This window comes from Homo sapiens, chromosome 13 (assembly GCF_000001405.40).
Source record: "Homo sapiens chromosome 13, GRCh38.p14 Primary Assembly".
In the NCBI taxonomy this organism is placed as follows: domain Eukaryota; kingdom Metazoa; phylum Chordata; class Mammalia; order Primates; family Hominidae; genus Homo; species Homo sapiens.
The window spans coordinates 59488180-59509350 of NC_000013.11; the positions used below are offsets into that span (position 1 = coordinate 59488180).

The 21171-nt window shown below is 40.8% G+C and overlaps 1 long non-coding RNA gene across 1 annotated transcript in view; it reads right to left on the reverse strand.

Annotated features, from left to right (window-relative positions):
- Window positions 1-1890: 1890 nt before the first annotated feature.
- Window positions 1891-21171, reverse strand: part of LOC107984625 (uncharacterized) — a 98066-nt gene continuing 78785 nt past the window's right edge. The window contains exon 5 of the long non-coding RNA XR_001749886.2: window positions 1891-2048. This is a non-coding gene — a long non-coding RNA (uncharacterized LOC107984625). The remainder of the gene's footprint in view (window positions 2049-21171) is intronic.

A 21171-nucleotide genomic window follows, 5' to 3' on the forward strand; every position in this document is an offset into this window, starting at 1 on the left:
ATGGTTAAATCCTCATAACCGTTTTGTGCCTAAAATTAGAGTGTCCATCATTAGGCATGTGCCGATCCCTTAGAAACTTTAGCTAAGTATGTTTCTCTAAGATTTCAAAAATTATCACACATAATTTAAGTACTACAAATTTCCTTATGAAAAAATGGCCATTACTTTTATATAACAATGAATCTTAACTGAAAATTAGACCTTTGTCTACATATTAGGCTTATGGAAAATCCCGTTTAAAGCAAGATTGGCAGAAACTAACTTGCCTGCTCTCTGAGGTTAGGGATTATTCTGAAATCTTTATCATCATGCTTTGTCCAGTGCTTGATGTAGAATAGATGCCCGAGAAAGATTTGTTTACTGAAAGACTGAAAACAGAATTACTGAACATCTCAGAGGCTGCCTCTTTGTTTATAATCCTTGCTTTTTATTAGTTACCACTTGATCTGTTCTTAGCTTGTAGGTTTGCTCTGACTCATAGGGTCAAGACTCCTACCCTGTGTGCTTGGTTATTGCCCATGTCTGGGAAGATATTTTATCTGTGAAATGAGAATTTGCCACTCTTCCCAATATAGTTGGTCAGATATGGAATTTGTGTCTGTATTGTTTTAAGGCCCTTTGGGCCAGCATTTATATGCCTTTGCCACTAACGTGTTTGTGTGTTTGCTTGTTTTGTGACTTTGTTTCAAAAAGAAAACAATGTACAGAGCATTACCTCCTCTCCTGTTCAGGACAGTCAACTCAGTTCCCTCTCTTTACCCTTTCTTCCTGTTACTATCTTACTTGAAAAGATGCACAACTAGAAACTGGGATGGTCTTTTGTCTGGCACCAAACCATGACCCTACTTTCAGATTTTGCTATTTTCAATCTAAATGGCTGAGTTGTTAATTCAGTTTATCAACCTCTCTTCTCCTCATTCCCCTTTCTACATATTTGACTCTTTATATATTTGACTTCTTGTATATTATCTTTTTTATTTTTTCTTTTTATTATTATTAATTTTTTTTTTGAGATGGAATCTCACTGTCACCCAGGCTAGAGTGCAATGGCATGATCTTGGCTCACTGCAACCTCTGCCTACTGAGTTCAAGCAATTCTCCTGCCTCAGCCTCCCGAGTAGCTGGGATTACAGGTGCCTGCCACCATGCCCGGCTAATTCTTTGTATTTTTAGTAGAGACGGGGTTTCACTATGTTGGCCAGGCTGGTCTTGAACTCCCGACCTCATGATCTGCCCGCCTTGGCCTCCCAAAGTTCTGGGATTACAGGCGTGAGCCACCATGCCCGGCCTTATATATTATCAATGAATTTTTAAAAATCTTACTTCTGGAAAATAATTCATTCTTTCTGAATCTTTTAAAAATACACTGAAAATAATATAATTGCTTTTGAATACAGCTTTATAAAAGTCTCCTCCCAGCCTCTCATAACAGATCTTGAGTGAAATCTGAAATTAGGTAAGGCCACCTTAACATGTTATAAAGAGCCATCAGAATATGGCAAGTCCCGCACTGATTTAAGATATTCCCAGTCACGGGGAGTGTTTTCCATGCATTTGCAGAGTTAAAATGCAATAACCTTAGCCAGTTCATTAGTCATCCAGAGCTTTAATAATTATCATCATCACAACTAATGAAAATATCTTTTGTTAAAAGCTTATAGCTACCAGGTATAGTGATGAGCACTTTCTACACACCATTTCCATTGATTCTGATAACCACTCAGTGAACTAGAAAGTAAAGCTGATTTACAGTGGACAAACCAAGGATTTGTACTGGTTATATATTGAGCCAGCTAGTTATGTAGAATGGAATAGTGGAGACATAAACCCAGGCTGACATCAGAGCCTAAGATGCTATGATAGTTTCGTGAACTACCCTTTTCAGCTGTTTTTTGCTTTGCTACATTAAAACGATGGAAGGCAAAAATTTCTACTCACCTCCTAGAACATTTGAGGATTGAGACTTCGCCCTTCAAGGAAGAAACACTAGCTGATGAGTTGCTGACAATTTGGATGCCAAGGGTTCTGAGTATAATGGGCCATCCACTCTGCAAGAACAAAGAAAAACACAATTTCAAGAGAGCTGAAGTTCCTCTAAGAGAAAAAGATTCCCCCAGAATGAAAGTAAGTCAGAAGAAAGCAACTGAGAAGGAGGAGGTGAACAGGGACAGAAGCCTTGTCCCAAAAAGTCAGCTTAGCAAAGGACAATTCTGAAGGGAATGGGTTAAAGGCAGTAAGTAAAAGTTTTAAACAGCAATGACTCTGAAGCCAGCCTCCCTTGGATCAGACCCCAATTTCACTATTTACGAGTTTTGTGACCCTTGACAAGTTACTTAATCTCTGTGCTACTCAACCACTACCTCAGTTTTCCCTTCTATAAAGTAGGAATAATATTAACATCTACCTTATATGGTTCTGAGGGTTAAATGAATTGATACCCATTAAGTTATTAGGATAGTGCCTGGTTCAGTGTGTTTAGTAGGTGTCAGTCCTTATTATTCATATGGTATTTGACCTCTTTGGAGTTGGGTGGGGCCATATCATTATCCGCCCAAAGCAGAAACATGTCCCATGATCTGCTCTCACATCTTGTGCTTGCCCCAGCAAATCATTCCAGTGAGGCTCAGAAAGGACTCATTCCAGAAGAATCCAACTGTGCACCTGTAGCCTCCCAGCAGGAACAGCTTCTGGCCATGCTACAAGAGCTCTGCTGTGCCCCTTTCATAATTCCAAGAACAGAAAGCCTGTTTAACTCAAAAGCCAAATGATCAACAACAGAAACCCCAGGGCCCCTTTCTTCTGGCCCCCACTTCTATTTCACTCAGTTCCCTCATCTGAAAAATAAAACCACTGCCCACCTCACAGTATCATGATGAGCTCCTTTTTATTAAATGACAGAACAAATAAAAAGGAGCTAGCACAGTGCCTGACATACAGTAGATAGTTTAAAAATACAGTCATCCCTTGATATCTGTATGGATTGGTTCCAGAACCTCCCTCAGATCCCAAAATCAGCGATGCTAGAGTCCCTGATGTAAAGGGGTGTAGGATTTGCATATAACCTATGCACATCCTCCTATATACTTCACATCATCTCTAGATTACTTATAATACCAAATACAATGTAAATGCTATATAAAGAGTTGTTGTATAGTGAATAATGACAAAAAATCTGTACATGTTCAATACTGATACATTTTTTTCAAATGTTTTTGATCTGCAGTTTGTTGAATCCGTGGTGTGGAACCCATGGGTACAGAGGGCCGACTGTATTCATTTCTTTCCTTCTTTCCTTAAGCTACAGACAGCCCTTACTAAACACTGTTAAGGGACTAATGGCTTAAGGTAAAAAGACTAGTGGGAAGTGGGGAATTAGTTCTGTCATTAAGCCACTGCTCCTATACCATATCTACTGATTTATTCTTTCCCCAAATGTGTGTTTTTCTAAATGTAGATAGGTCAGAAAAAATGGCTTCAATATAGGAATTAAATGAGTATAATAATAGTAATAATCACTAATAATATCTAGCTTCAGAAGTGTAAGAAAATTGGCTTGTTTCTTTAATAGAAAAGTCTACGGTTTTCTTTTTTGGTCCCTAGAAAACTGAATCATGATTTATTCCTGTGTGTTAGGAGGGGATCTGTTCTGCTAAAATCATTAGATTTATTTAAGTTCACACAACAGAAGGAGACATTCTGGAGGCTCTTTTTCATTGTTAAATGAGCACCTATGTGGTAGTGTCACAGATGAAGGAGATAAAGGCACTTTGAGGAATAAAAGAGAAAAGGCACTTTGAGGAATAAAAGAGAAAAGGCACTAGCATAAAAATTAATCAGATTAAGTGTATTAGTAGATAGAGATCTGCAATCTGTTTTCTACACCCCCTGTGTGACAACATGATGAAGGTAATCAGGAAAACTACTGGAGAGGGCCCACAGTTTAAAGACCAATATGCTAGAAACAAAGGCTTCCCTGAAGTACTCTTTATGATGCTACACCTAACTCTCAGCAGGACAGCTAATTTCTCACACCAATCAGTCCATTGCAAGAAATGCTGAGGTGGAAAAAAAAATCCCTGCTGCACACTTTCCTGTCTTTCCCCAGATTCTAAATCTTCACACTGAAAATAATTTGCAAGCACAGGCATCTCTGAGATTCAATGGATTTTCCCTACCACCCCTCTTTGTTCCTTCAATCCTAGAGGGATGCTCCAAGCAGACAGGAAATGTGACCCAGAAGTGTGGCGACATATTTTTGTCTTGTTTCAGGAAGATGAGTGTTTCTCAGTCTCCTCTAGTTGAACTCACACATTCCATCTTTGGAGAAAGTTTTAAACAGTTCCGGCTTATTCAGAGTCCTTCTTAGGACCAGTTTAGGAAGCTGCCTGCAGGGACACAATGGCTGTGGTGGGCACAGCACTTTGAATACATACCTTCAGGGATGGGAGTATGCTACTGATTTTGTTTTTCTTTTCTTTTTTTTTTTTTTTTGAGATGAAGTTTCACTCTTGTTGCCCAGGCTGGAGTGCAATGGCACGATCTCAGCTCACCACAACCTCCGCCTCCCGGGTGTCAAGGGATTCTCCGCCTCAGCCTCCTGAGTAACTGGGATTACAGGCACCCGCCACCACGCCTGGTTAATTATATATTTTTAGTAGAGACGGGTTTCTTCATGTTGGTCGGGCTGGTCTCGAACTCCCAACTTCAGGTGATCCGCCCGCCTTGGCCTCCCAAAGTGCTGGGATTACAGGCATGAGCCACTGCGCCCAGCCAACTACTGATATTTTCTTATCATGACTTCCTGGGCAAGATTTTTTGTTACCAATCAATATCCATCCTAACCCAGGTCACACTTCAAGAATCTATTTAAACGATCCTATACTGACTAACAGCTTGATAGAATATAATCACATAAACTTCAAATTAGTTATAATTTTTCCCTTTGAATATAAAATGTTATTTAAAGTCTTCCTAACAAAATAAATGAAAAATATGTGGATATTCCACAGAAATCTCTATATCTAGGCAGCCTTTACCTAAGTGAAACCAGTCACAGAAAATGTATCCATATTAACCAATAATTATTGATTTACTTTCATTTATCAATAATTCATTTATTTCCATATTGAAACAGGATTTAAGGGTAAGGAAATCAGGGATGATTAAAGTAAAATGTCTTGGGTTCAAACTGACACCAAGAAGCCTAAACATGCTCAGAGATGCCATTAGTCAATATGGAAAATGTGGGCAATCTAGGAAAAACCTGTTGTCTTCCCACTCCAACCCTGAGCAGCCCTGTGGGCCAAGAGTTTGTTGAACAGAAGTAGGGGGGTCTAAATTTCAGACCCCATGTTCTACCTCAGCCAGGTGCATTTTTACATTTCACAAACAATTCAGTCACCGAAAGCAGCCCAGGCCACATTCTACAGCAGAGTGAGAGCAGATCAGTAATGAGTCCTTGCTTAATAACAGAAACTGTCTTGCAGGTGAATCTTTGAAAAGGTGGCCTCTCCTTCATCCTTGTGGTTATTCAAGTGAAAGTGAAAGGTTTCCCTGTCATGACATAAAACTGAGCAAAAAACAATCACCATATCTCTTGCCAACTTTGTCTCCTTGACTCAGGAAGATTTTAAATATAGAACAAATACTGCTTGCATCAGTAGCAATCCAGCCTCTATGTCACTATTGGATTAATAATGCTTTAGGATACATATCTCCAATATGAAAGGCTCTATCTAGCACACCAAATACCCTGATACAAGAACACTTCCTACTGTAGGCATGGCTATAGTAGTATATACTCAGTGTAATAGATGAGCAGTTATATTCTTTAGATATATAGAATAAATTTTATCTTTTGAAATGAAAATTCTAACACATTACTCTTCACAAGAAAAAAAGTCATAATCAGTTAAGACATTAGAACCCACCCAAATAATTTCTTCTGAATCATCTCTCTATTTGCTCGACTTCTCCCTTGCCCCCATGCTCCCACTGTCTGTAGTTACCAGATAGTAAACATGAATGCTGAATCAAGAATGAAAGAAAAACAGAAACATATATTTATGTAAACTTGTATTGATTCAACTAGGGAGAAACCCCACAGCTTTCAAGGCCTGAGTCACAAATCATTGTGATCAGAAATGCTGATGTGCTAGGAATGCACAAGTATTTTTGCTTATTATCATGGCCCAGGCCTGTTGCAGAGCAAGAGTTAAGCTGAAAAACAGTAAATATGGTTTTAAGCTTCCATTTATCAGGCAATATTTTGGGAAAGGGAGGACACAGTGGTGATGAGTCCAGGCTTGTATATTGAGCTCTACACTCAGTCACCAAAAGATCCACATTTGGGAAAATCAGAGGGAGGTCACACCACCTTTCCAAACAAGAGAAAACTCTGTTCTTCCCAAGATGACCTGAAATGTTCTAATTATTGGTTATTCCCTCTGGTCGGTGATGCAGCCAACAAGCACGTAGAGTTCAGTGAACCCACAAGCGCACAGCTGTTATCTTTGACTTATGGCCAAAACAAAAATTGGAACAGAATTTACTCAGACAAGTGTAAAGGCTTCTGTTTAAAACAGCTATTTTCTAAGCCAGATAAACAGCTTTGAAATGGAGAAGAAATGAATCCTTTCCTAGAATGTCTGAACCAAAGTGAGGTCAGCATCTTGAAGACAAGATGTTAACATAGATTACCCACACGGCTGCACAAGTCTCCCAAAGCATGAGACAGCCTCCACACCTCTGAGTTATCTGTAACTTTTTTTTTTTTTGGGGGGTCAACTTTTTGTGTTTTGGAAACAACTTTCTGCATTTGGGAAAGGTGGCTATGTTTAGTTAGTTGGTGACATAAAACATTAAGAACAGAGAATTGCTGTCCTGGAAGCTTCTGTGAGCCAGCAATTGCATAGGCTAGTGGCCTCTTTGGCCAGTAGCATCAGAGGCTCTTATGTGGCAGTTTGAGGGCAGAAAGAAACAGAGTGGTATTACTGTGGGCTTGAGTTAGTGATTCCGGCCTTTGAATTTCCACTAAGAAACATTAGCAAATACCCAATTTTTTATAGGTGGCAAAGGGACTGGTAAGAAATAGCTGGTAGGAGAAGCAGGGAAAAATCACCCTCCCAGTTACCTACACAAATACTGTGTGTCTGTGCTAATCTGGCAATCCATCTTACAATCACCAAACAGTGCAGAGCAAGGAAGCAATTCGCACTGCAATAGTGCTCCTCAGAGCTTTTCATAGCTTGATGCCTATTGCAGCTGCTTATATTGTACCAGCAGGTGGGTATAAAATAGCAGATTCCGGAGCCTACAAAAGCCGTGTCCCAGGGTAGAAGAGGAGATGATTTTTTTTCCAGTAGAGTGAATATGCATATCAATGTACCTGAATGGAGAGCTGGGTCCTGGTGAGCTGTCATCAGCACCAAATCTGTCTGTACTTCCATCTCAAGTGGTCTATTTGAGCGATAACAAGGCTTATGTAGCAAGGGTTTAAAAAGCCTGCTTCTCTCTTGATTCTAGGGGGTTTACAGACTACGTCTGCAGTGCGGACAGCCTTGAGCCCACTATCAACATTCATTCATTCCCAAATTCTCTCTGCACTCATCATTTGCAGCAATAATAAAATCTCACCAGTTTGGAAGTCCTGGGTTTTCTAGAATAGTAAGCACCAAGTATCCAGACATTGTAAGAACAATTATAACTACATGGCATCGTGGCCTGTTCTAATATACTCTATCGTTAAGGCAGTCAGCTGCTTAATTAGTGTCAACTTCATACCCAGTGGGCAGGGATAGTTATCAGAAGCCCACTGAACAAATGGACGGGACGTTTCAAACCTTCGAGCATCAAGCTTCTCCAAAAATAACAAGAAGTGACAGCTGAAGTCATGCTTAACAGAATTGGTTTAAAAATGTGAAATGGTTTTTAAAAGCAGCACTGCCTTCATATTGGGTGTGAATGAGGCTTTGTATGAAATATTATAGGAGGGGAAATCCCTAATAAAGCTGAGACTCATGCTTTGTTCTCAGTGTCTGACAATTGGATCTCTCTAGATAATACTTGAAAGGACTGAGAGGTGTGGCAGCAGATGGGTGGGAGGCCAAGGCTGTGTAAAACAACCCTCTGAGAAAGAGTTTCAGCGAGCTGCATAAGCGGCACCATCAGGACCCATCTGTGTAACAATTCCAGGACTGTTGCTTATCTGGTCATTTGTTTTCATAAAATGAGCAAGGAGAATCATGCCTGCCACATTCCTTGCCTCCCTTAGACCGTATGTCTCCTGCTGGTAGTTGTCTGGTTATTTTATTTTACCCTTTCACCACCCGATTCATAGCTTTCTTAGAATCCTCTAACACTGGGGTCAGAAAAATTTTTCTGTAAGAGGACAGATAGTAAATAGATTAAAAGTTTGCAGACCATACAGTTTCCATCACAACTACTGAACGCTGAGGTTATAGCGTGACAGCAGCCACAGACAACACACAAATAAATGGGCATGGCTGAGTCCCAAGAAACGTTATCTACAAATATAGGTTGGGTGTCACATTTAGCCCACAGCCACAATTTGGGGATCTCTTCTCTAAGACACTGTATCTTAAATAAAGTCAGCTGTGGGAAATACTGTGGGTTTTATTTAGTTTTCTACACTTCCATAACTATCTGTGGTAGATTCTTAGAGCAGCAGCTCCCTCATTTGTTCATGCCTCCCACTCTCCAGGCCCCGGGGAGTTTTCTTCCATACTGACGGTTATGGGCTGAATTGCATCCTCCCAAAATTCATATGCTGAAGGCCTAACCCTTAGTACTTCAGAATGTAACCATATTTGCAGATAAGGTCTTTAGAGGGATGATTAAGTTAACAATGAGGCCATAACCCCTAATCCAACATAACCAGTGTCCTTATAAGAAGAGGAAGAGACACCAGAGATGCAAACATAGAGAAAAGACCATGTGAAGAGGCAGCAAGAGGGCAGCCATATGCAAGCCAACAAGATAGGCTTCAGAGGAAACAAGCCCCAGACACCTTGATCTTTGACTTTCAGATTCTAGAACCATGAGGAAACAAATTTCTGTTGTTTAAGCCACCTAACTTAGGGTATTTTGTTATGGCAGCCCAGGGAAACTAATATACTGACGCTGGGCCAATCATGTGACTTTGGCCAAGGGGCAGTAGCAAACACGATATAAGCAAAGACTTGGAAAATGTCTCTTGCTGCTCTTGAGAGTCCTGCCAGCAACTAAGTCTGGGCTAATCTGCTGGATGGGGCGATAACATGGCCAGTCAGCTCATCAAGTCAAACCCCAGAAGCAGCTGCCTAGCTGACTGCCAGCCACCACACATGCATGAGAGACTCCAACAGAGATCAGCAGAAGAGCCACACAGCTGAGACCAGTCCCAACTGTGGACCCACAGAATATTGCTATTGTTTTAAACCATGAAGTTTTAAGGTAGTTTGTTACATACATGAGGCAACTGGTATACCACCTACCCACTTCCCATGTTTTCTCTACCCTAATACTCAGACTATCTTCTTTGTCTCTTGCTTACTTGGGCTGCTTCAAAGCGGCACTCCTTTATTCAACTCTGGCCTACCCTCTCCAACCAGCTGGTAGTTCAGTCTGGTGCCTCATCCACTCAAGACACCACTCTCTGCTGGGTGAGCATATTCATTTTCTCTTGCTATGATAACAAATTACCATAAACTTTGCAACTTAAAACAGCATGCACATTTATTATCTCCAAGGTCTGTAGGTCAGAAGCTTGACACGGATCTCACCAGGTTAAAATCAAAGTGTCGGCAGGACTGTGTTCCTTCCTGTAGGCTCTGAATCAGTTTCCTTGCTATTCAGATTGTTGGTAGAATTTATTTTCTTGCTGCTGTAGGATGGAGAGCTCTGTTTTCTTGCTGGCTGTGAGCTAAGGGGTGTTCCCAGCCTCCAGGGAACACCCACATGTCTCAGCTGTTAGTTCCTTTCTTCCATCTTCAAAGCCAGCAAGGTAGGTCAAGTCCCTCTCATGTTTCAAATCTCTCCTGCCTCTTCATTTATCACATTTCTCCGACTCCAGTGAGCAAAATTTCTCTGCTTTTAAGGGTTTATGTGATTAGATGCGGCCCACCCTGATAATCCAGGATGATCTCCCTATCTCCAGATCCATAACCTTGATCCCATCTGTAAAAAGCCCCTTTTGCCACATAACATAGCACATTCATAGGATCTAGGGATGAGGATGTGGATATTTTGAAAAAAGAAGGGATACATTATTCTGACTACAATAGTTGGCAACTTGTGGCAATGAAATCAGAGACTGCCTGGCAGTGGTGGCTCATGTCTGTAATCCCAGCACACTTTGGGAGGCTGAGGCAAGAGGATCACTTGAGCTGAGGAATTTGAGACCAGCCTGGGCAACATAGTGAGACCCCTTGCTTTCAAAAGAATTTTTGAAAATAGCCAGGTGTGGTGACATGTACCCGTAGTCCCAGCTGCTCAGGTGGCTGAGGCAGGAAGCTCTCTTGAGCCCAAGAGGTCAAGGCAATAGTGAGTCGTGATCATGCCACTGTATTCCAGCCTGGGCAACAGAGCAAGACCCTGTCTCAAAAAAAAAAAAAAAAAAAAAAAAGAACAGAGAAAAAGGAAGAAATCACAGATTCTAGTTCTCACCAACTCTCCATTACAATGGGGATTTTTACAAAGCTAACTACAAACTCGATGTGGCCCAATCCCCTCCACAACCACCATAGAGCAGCCCCAATAGTCTAAAATTGCTGCTCTTATTTTCTGTGGAGTAGTCTTCACCCATGTGTCCTTGCATCTGTACAGCTCTTCTCCATACATAGTTGCAAATTAGGACATGTGGACTATGAGCACCTGAATATAAGGTTTTCAAGAATAGTGTCTAGAATCCTTTATGTCATTGTCTTAGGAAAATGAGTTTTAACAGGTAGTCATTTTTCTATCCCTGCTGCTTCAAGCTCTAAGATGCTGCTAGGCTAACATCTAATAGTGTGTACAAGGGAAGTGCCAGTGTTATAACGAGTATCATAAGTTTCTACTCCTATCTACATGGAATTTTGCAAACTGATTTATCGTAGCCTATTAAAGCTACCAAGACCCATTCTATATCAGTTAGGATGCCTTCAGCTGCAAGAAAAAGAAACCGATTTAAACTGGCACACACAATATGAAAAATTACTATTTCACATTACAAGAAGCATGGACACGGATCAGACTTCAGGGTTAGTTAACTCTGTGGCTCAGAAAAATAATCAAGGTCCCAGTTTCATTCTCTCTCTCCACCCTGACATTCTTGTGTCTCAAGTAGGGAGCAAGGTGTCTGCAGCTCTTTCTGGCATCACATCCAATTAAAATAACATCCAGAGGAAGAAGGGCGATTGTCTCTTCCTGTGCCTCTATCTTTGTTGTGAGGAAACGTTTTCCTACAAGTTCCCCCGGTAGACTTCCCTCTGGTTTCATTGGCAGAATTGACCTAATTTTAAAGCAAGGCAAGGGAATGAGAACATGTCACTTCATCAAGGCCTTTCCTTGATCCCTTGATCACCCTTTTAAAACGGCAAGCGCTCCCGACAACATCTCCCAGCATTCCCTTCTGCCCCTGCTAAGGCCAGGTTTTTCTCCTTAGTTTTTATCAGCACACGATTTGCTTTGTTATTTGTACTTTTTCTTCCACACACATGAGAATGTCAGTTTCATTGTGTTAGGGATCCAGGGTTGTTTTATTCGCATAAAACAGTATGTGTCACATAATAAGGGTCTCTTGATATTGTTACATAATTGAATGAGTTATAACCCTTAAACTAATCAAGCCCTTGGTGCAAAAAGTAAGATCCACTTCTCCTAAGTCATATGGCTGTGGTGGGGAGGGTGAATTACAGAACAAAATTGAGTTAATGTTATGAGAAGGTGTGGGGAGTAAATGCTACATAGGCAACCTACATCCTCACTCTTCATTTCCCACCACGACCATCACCAATATTGACAGACAGGCATGTCAAATCTTAGAGGGGCTTACAGGTCTCAGGTTGTCTTTTCTTCCAAGGAGTCCTGGTCCAAACTAGACAGATAGAAACTATTTTTCAGAGCTCTATTTATGCTATCATCATTTAGGGTAGAAGGAATGATTACTGATCAAGTCCAGTGGTTTTATTTAATCTTTGCTATTCCAATAGTTGTAATACTTTATATAACTTACTCTTAGAATTCTGAGGAAACAATTTACCTAAAGTTTGCATGCTAATAAGAAGGGGGTTTCTCAGCCAGACAAAGTGGCTCATGCCTGTAATCCCAACACTTTGGGAGGCTGAGGCTAGAGGATCACTTGAGGCCGGGAGTTCAAGACCAGACTGGGCAACATAGGGAGACCCCCATCTCTATGAAAAATTTTAAAAATTAGCTGGGCGTGGAGGCATATACTTGTAGTCCCAGCTACTCAGAGGCTGAGACAGGAGGATTACCTCAGCCTCTAAGTAGCTGGGAGGGGGGGAAGGTGGGGTTTTCCTGGAAATAACCTACTAAAGAAATTAATGGAAGCAGTAAAAGGGCCTAAGGAAAGCCATTAGGCTGATATCAGGCTATTCAAAGCACCCCAGCTGGAGGCACCTGAGCAACACTTGGGAAAGGCAGCAAGCTTCATAATGAACATCAGACATTTATGGCATAATCCATAATATTTCCCAGCATATTCTGCTCTGAAGGTTTTTGAGAGCCTGAAGGTAGGGGATCACCAGGTCTTTTAAGATCTCCTCCTACACCCCTCCCTCAGAGAAGAACCAATATGTTCACTGCAGAGAGATGTAGATCGGGTGCCCGGTTGATGTCAATCCTAGAAATCTCTTTCCATTCTCCTTCCGAAGACCTTTCTTTACCTTTGAGAAGAAAACAAGGGGAACATTTGGTCTGTTTATCCTGAATCATTAGCATGGGAGGGTCTTGCTACATACATATTAGGTAGCTGCAAAAGTAATTACAGTTTGGGGCATTACTTCAATGGCAAAAACCGCAATTACTTTTGCACCAACATAATATGACCCAACCTAACCCAGGCTCCAGGGTACTCTTCCCCTTGCAAGCCACTTTGCCTAAGTAAGGCTTGCTTCCTTCAGAATCCTCACTTCACTTCGTCATTGCCCTCACCATCTCCCACAGGCTTTGTTCCCCTGGGGAGCTGATTCCACTCCAACAAGCAACCAAAGGACAGCCTGAATGACTTCTGCCAGTTTCCATCCCTAGACCTCCAAACTTCTTCCTGGAATTCCTTATAGCCTCTGGGGCCAGCTCCTTTCAAAGAAGCTAACCCTCTTTAGGCACTCCCTGAGGAAACCCTCATTATCATCTAATATTTCTATCATTTATTTTCTTGCTCAAATTGTTCCAACTTTGGCCACTGTTAAGAGCTACTCTGAGTTGGGGCACAGTGGCTCACGCCTGTAATCCCAGCACTTTGGGAGGCCAAGGCGGGTGGATCATGAGGTCAGGAGATTGAGACCATCCTGGCCAACATGGTGAAACCCTGTCTCTACTAAAAATACAAAAATTAGCTGGGCGTGGTGGTGCATACCTGTAATCCCAGCTACTCGGGAGGCTGAGGCAGGAGAATCACTTGAACCAGGGAGTCGGAGGTTGCAGTGAGCCGAGATGGCGTCACTACACTCCAGCCTGGTGACAGAGGGAGACTCAGTCTCAACAACAACAACAACAACAAAAAGAGATACTCTAGGTTGACACCTGTGTCTTTCCAGAAAGAGCTCTTTCTTTTTTACACACTTCCTTACTCCACAAGATGATCCAGGTTAGTTTTGTATTTTCCCAGCCTACCCAGGAATTTATCATTTCTTTATGAAGCTCTGGTTTTCTTTATTGAAAAACAGTGTTTAGAAACCAAGATCTGGGCATCAGGTGTATTCATTGCTGTAGTAGTGTCATTGCTTGCAGACCCTTTCAGCAGAGAGAGGTGGGAATGCATATCTATAGACTAACCTATGCATACACACATATCTATATTTTTGTACCTATCTATCTGTATATAGATCAAAGTCCATGAGTTTATGCTGATACCTCTGATTCTAGTCCAACACCATAGGTTTCATTTTAGCCTTACCCCTTTCCTTATCTGTAACATCTGTCTTCAATAGTGAAAGATCTGGCTTATTATCTACTTTCTGATTTATTCTATTTATTACATAAGTAGATATATTTACTTGTTTATTCAACTCCAGTATACGCATAAAGTATTTCAGGATTTCTAACCCATGACCCTGTGAGAGACACACCTACTAACTAAAATACATTACTTATATACAGTTATTTTTGTCTTTACAATATTTAGTTAAAATACCTTTTTCCAGAGTTACCTAGGTAGTTCATTCTCAGGGCAGACACAGCTAAACATGCTTTTAAGATCACACTTTTAGGTCCTGCTTTTAAATTTGCAGTCTAATTGAGTGTCAATTATATATTGTACCAGATCTTTGTCTTCCTTATCAGATTAAAGTTCTTCATTAAATAAGAATAGACTTGACTCTTGTGCATATTGTATTTATGCTATATTATTTTTCTATGTACTACTTCGGATGCCTGAGATGATCATTATAAATTACTTTTTATTATTCTAAATTTGTATTATCCCCTTAAGTGGTATATTGAATTGCTATAGTTCACAACCTCCAGCCATAAAATACAAAGCAATAAAATCTTCTAATTAATGCACACATATGCAAAGTTTATAATTAAATGCAAAGCTATAATTGGACCCAGTGCCCCATCTAACACAAAACAGCAATAGCAATGAACTAGAAGGAAAAAATAATAGCTGGAATACTCAGTCATTGAAGTTGAAATGGTTATTTACAATAACTTAAAGAAAAAACATTATTCCAGATTGTACAGAGAAGAAATATCCATAAAACCAATAAGGAGAAAATCTCTCTCAATTTATCATTACACAGGCGGATAAGGTCTACTATGCTTGTAACACACTAAGGTAGGGGAAGACCATAGCAAATTTATGGATGTGGTAGCTAAGGAAATAAGCTCATCTGTTGACTATAATCTACCCACATATACCCCTACACAGAGCCAAAAAAAAAAAAAAAAATACACACACACATATCTCCATTGCTGGGAGCCTTAAATTCCCACTTCTACTTGATTTTTCTTTTACAAATTTCCATATAAATATTACGACTCTTGCTGCAAATGGAGTTATTCTATCTTTGACTACAAAGTATTTCTGATGATATCAACTGACCTGCAAATACACTTTTCATGAATAACTTGTTCTTAAATTTTAAGAAATTAATAAGTTAGTAGTTCTGAATTTCATATGGAATGGAAAAAATCTACATTATTGTGTTCTATCAGTTTTAGGACCTAATTAACCAAAGTTGCTCCTCCCCTAGTCTTCTAATTGAGCAGTAAATGTCACCACTATCCACACAGCATCCCCTCAAGGCAGAGCATAGCAATCATTCATCATTCCTTTATTTCTCTCTACCGTGGGGCATGTTCAATCCATCAATATATCCTATTAGTTCTAGCTCCAAAATGCAGCATGAGTTCATCTCCATCTTTCGGTCTCTACAGCCACAGCTATAATCCAACCCTCTATCCACTATTAGTGGACCACTGAGGTAGCCCCTTAACTCCTCTCCTAATATTCACTTTCCCCACCTTGCATCCATCCTCTGTGACTGCAGCCACTCAGTCATTTTTCACAAATATAAATTGAATCATCATACTGCTTTGTTTAAAGAATGTTCAAGGCTTCCCATTTTCTTGTGGGTAAAAGACCATGCTTGGTCTGGCCCCTTTTGGGAACTCATCTTGACCCACTCTTCACTCCTCTCTGAACTCAAGCCCACAGCCATCCTTCAGCTCCTGGATCATTTCCTTTCTCCTCAGGGACTTTGCCTATTCCTCCCTCTCTGCTACACTTGCTTAATTCCTAACCATTGTTCATAACTCAATGCAAAAGTCACCTCCGCTAAGAAATCCTCCCTAGTCCCCACGTAAAAAGTCAGAGTACCTCTCACATATTCTCAAAATACAATGGACTTTTTCTTCACAGCACTAATTATAGTTGAAATTCTATATGTGTCTGGAAAATTATTTAATTACTATTTTTCTACCTCCACTAGACTACATGTGGGTTCTCTATAATGTCCTTTGCCCCTAAGAGCGTCAGAGTTTGGCACTTAGTAGGTAATCAATATGTATTTATTGAATGAATACTGGATAGAGAAAAGAAATAGCCTAAATATATGGAATTTTCACTTTTGCCTTCTTTATCAACCATCAACAGCAGGTGGAATAAAAATCCTGTCAGGGCACGTGAATCTCCTATTGTGATCCCTGAAGTTCTGCTGTGCTCAAGACAGATGGAAACCCTGCAGCAGCCTCGCAGAATGGCTCTCAGATATGACCTGCATATAAAGCAGAGAGCAGGATGATGCTCCAGAGCCGAGTGCCGGCAGCCTGTTGACATCCATAAAATACAAGGTTAGCTCCGGCTTTGACCCTCTCAGGTCCAGTAAAACATGGCAAAAATGTAGAGAAGGGGTGAGCTGCTGTCTTGGAATTATTCCAGACAATTTGAATATATGACCAATGTTTAAATATATGACTGTTTTTCAGCCACTCTGAATTATCTGCAAATGTGCTATCATCTTTTTAACCTCCAAAAGCAAGAGACTAAATGCTTTGACAGTGATTTTTCTTCTTTCTGGCATTTCCAGGTGACATATTTTAGTGAGATAAAAATAAGGGTAATGCTTTCTGACCCTCTCTTTTGTAACTCCCACAAAGATATCATGTCTTGACCATATGAGATGTGGAAGGCAGAGAAGTGACCAACCTGGGGAGGAGAGATGGCCACCCCTAGGAAGGAGCCAAGAGGCCAAACACTGGGCCCAGTGTATGCAGTGAATGCTCACTTGCTCCAGGAAGGAGGCAGTATGCATGTTTCTAGGCCCCAGGTGCTGGCTGAGCACACAAGGGACTTATGGGTGGCAGGAGTTCTGGGCATCAGGTGGTGCCTGAGCCATGGGCTGTGAAAGATGATAGAAGCAGGATCCCACTCTCAGAAAGGGGCCAGTAGTAACCAGGCAAGAAGAACCACTGTCCCTGGCCAAGTAAACTTGGTTTATGGAAAGTGGCAGGGGTAATTGAGAAAGAGAGAGGACAAAAATCCAACCAGACTGACTCTCCCCCTCGCTCATCACACTCATCTTTGAATTTTATTGAGATTCCATAAGTGTGTATGCTTTTAATGGGCTCATTTTCTGATTTTTGTCCCTGTGATGAATCTGCCAGGAACACCCCCAACCCTGGATCAATTCAACCACCTACATGTCCATTCACATATCTGATCACTAATCAGGTAACTCAGGAGAAAATTCTCCTGAGTGGGATGGTCCAATTACTAAAATTAATGACCTAGCTCACCTCCATCTGAACGTGCCCAGTGTACCCAGTCATCTTCCTCAAGATTCCATTTAAAAATACTGACATCTCAGTGGGCTCTTTCAACTTCTCCACTCCCATTATGTCCCATTCTCACCACGGCTCTCTGCCAACTGGACCTTCCATTTTATGAAGAAAACAAAAATCTTAGGGTAAAAAATAACTCAATCTCCTGCCCCTGCCCTTTGACTTGAAAAGGTATCTGGACTTTTGCTTTCTTCCTTTTTTATTTTTATTTTATTTTGTTATTTTTTTAAGACGGAGTCTCGCTCTGTCTCCCAGGCTGGAGTGCAGTGGCGTGATCTCAGCTTACTGCAAGCTTCACCTCCCAGGTACATGCCATTCGCCTGCCTCAGCCTCCCGAGTAGCTGGGACCACAGGCGCCCGCCACCACATATGGCTAATTTTGTTTTTGTATTTTTAGTAGAGACAGGGTTTCACCATGTTAGCCAGGATGGTCTCGATCTCCTGACCTCGTGATCCGCCCGCCTCAGTCTCCCAAAGTGCTGGGATTACAGGTGTGAGCCACCACACCCAGCCTTCTTCCTTTGAACCTCAGAAAAAGAGGTGACTCTTCTCAAAGTTAAGCTCTTCACGTGCACTCTGAATTACACCCTGTCCAAGTCCTCAGCAAACTTGCTCCATCAATTACATCCTCCTTTCCTTTCCTCTATCTTCAGCTTCTCTCTTGCACCAACTCTTAGCTACTTTTCCACATTAAAAAAAGAAAAGAATTTATTCCTTTACCTCTTTCCTTCCCTATTTTCCCAAGTGACTTAAAAGGCTCTTCTATACTCAAAAATGTCTCCTTTGTCACCTCCTATTCACCTGGCACAACTGAAGCAGCCCTCACCAAGTCAACAACTGCCTGCTCATGATGGAAACCAATGGACTCTTTTCTATGTTTCACTCACTGCATTTAACACAGTTGTCCACTTTCCTTTGTTGCCTCTTGTGACACCAGTCTCTTCTATCTTATTCTTATTCTCTATCGCTTCATAGACTCTCTCACCGATATCTCTTCTTCTCCCTTTCTCTTCTCACAGTACCCTTACTACTTATAAAATCTCACCCAGACCAGCTGTCACCAACCACATATATACAGAGGACTTTCAAAGAGCCGACCCTGATCTCCTGAGCTCCAGGCTACTCTGTGCAAAGAGTCTATTAATTGTTTCTATTTGGAAATCCCAGAACGATCTCCAACTCATCACATCCCAAATTGAACTCATGTGCTTCCTCACAAAAATTCCTTATTTTATTGTTTTCAGTCTCTGATAACTACTCAGTTCGCCCTCAGTCACCCAAACCCAGAGCTTGAGAGTCAGTCTAGAATCTTGCCTATCATTTGCCCTTCACACACAGTTGTTCACCAAATACTATTGATTTTTCCTCTTAAATACGTCTTAACAGCTCTACTCAAGTCTATCTTCACTTTCATTGCTACAGTTAGGGCGCTCATCATTACTTTCCTGAATTGTAGTAAGGGATTCCACTCCTAATTTACCTCATCACCTCTGCTATACTCTTGTCTTAAATTTGTCCTCCAGAGTTCTCTGCTTTTATTTTGTAAAAGACAAACTTTGGGGAAAATAACAAAACTTCTAGCATATCACATAAATGATTCCCAATCTGAAGAACACCATTACTTCCCCTCATAATCAGTATATTATAGGTAAGTTGATAATACTTATTGCATAATGTTTTTGTGAGTTCGTTATATGTAAAAGGTTTAGAAGAGGGTTCCATACAAAAGAGTGCTCAAAAAATTATGTAATCTTCTACTAAAAACTCACTAATGTTCAGTAAATAAATAACTGAGATGCTCAGCAGAGGATTTGGTGATTTGCATCCCAGTGTTAAGAAGGTGCCCAGAAAACCAAGTGTGGGCCCAGCAGACTTCAGATTCCAGTTTACTTGGGAAGAAATGGTTGACATGATATCAGTTAAGGCCTTCAGTGGTTTAAAGATTGAATTTCTGATTTCTACAACCCACATGTAAGTAGGCAGAGCAATTTGGGATAAAGAGTACATTAACCATGAGATTTCTTTGTCTGTTTCTTATTTTTACCTCTATTGGGAATGATTTGTTAGCATTTCCTTCTTCGCTTTTTAATTTTTTTGAGATCTTTTAGAATAGACACATACAGGATAAGATGAACTGTATTTCACTCAGTGAATTAGAAACATGTTCTAACTCATGCTGCCTGGGTAATGGGTGATAAGATCTTTGCTTTTTCTGTCTGAAATCTTTGAGCATCAATACATATAGGATAAGAACTATATTGCACTTAGTGGAAACTCAAGTTATAACTGATGTTCCCCGGGTAATTAATGATGAAAAAATGATCAAATGATGACAATGAAGATGCTGATCAACAGTGTCTCTTCTCTAACCCACCTATATGACATAAGTTTGACGAGAGAAATTTCTAGAACCTGGTAACCTTAAGGAGGGTTTTACATGAAAATACAGTCATCTTGCAGAATCACAGGTGGCAGACCTTGTCTCTGTCAGAGGCACTGAAATTTATGCTGCAAAAGTACGTCTCTGTGCTCTTTCACATCAACCTCCAAGACATGCCTGAACTTCCATTAATGATCTGTCATTGTTATTTATCTAAACCAGGCTGACAAGCTATTTACGTTATTAGCTCCCTCTAACATTTGTGGAGAGTGAGTTTCTCACATTCCAAACTTATTTCTTTCAGCTCTAAAGGGGTCACTCTGGTATACCCAGATTTGGGGGAAAAAAACAATAAAGGGCTAAAGGAGAAAACGCTTGAGTAAAACCATGAGATAAAATGGCAAAATACCGTTTCCCCAAATCTTTCACTGGGGCAGGATACAGCCACTACTTTCATTCGACACAAAGACCACAAACCACTGCCAATAATGAAGAAACCTATTTTACTTCAATAATTATGGCCAGAAAAGCCCTTTTTTTTTTTTTTTTTTTTTTTTTTTTTGAGATGGAGTCTCGCTCTGTTGTCCAGGCTTCCAGGCTGGAGTGCAGTGGCGCGATCTCGGCTCACTGCAAGCTCTGCCTTCCGGGTTCACGCCATTCTCCTGCCTCAGCCTCCCGAGTAGCTGGGGCTACGGGCACTCGCCACCACGCCCGGCTAATTTTGTTTTTGTATTTTTAGTAGAGACGGAGTTTCACCATGTTAGCCAGGATGGTCTCCATCTCCTGACTTTGTGATCCGCCCACCTCGGCCTCCCAAAGTGCTGGGATTACAGGTGTGAGCCACCACGCCTGGCCAAAAGCACATTATTTTTTAAAAGAGAGACTAGCTATTACATTTTAGACATTTTTATTCTTCTTACTCCTTATTGTTCTAGGATTCAGAAAAGATGTTCATACAATTTACTTGTCTATATAAACATATGGTGCTAGTGCCTAGCCCGGGGTAAGTATGACAAATGATCATCATTACTGTTGTTATTATTGTCATTATGATTATCAGCTCCCATACTCCAGTGGGGATATGACCAGAGGACAGAGGCAACTCTTAGTATGTATTAGTATATCTTCTATTTAGGGAGATTAGGTAGATAGATAGATAGATAGATAGATAGATAGATATGTTCACATATACATATATAAACAAATGTATACATATACACGAACGACTTTTGCATTTATCACATCACCTTCATTTAGGATCCCTGTGACATGGGCAAGGCAAT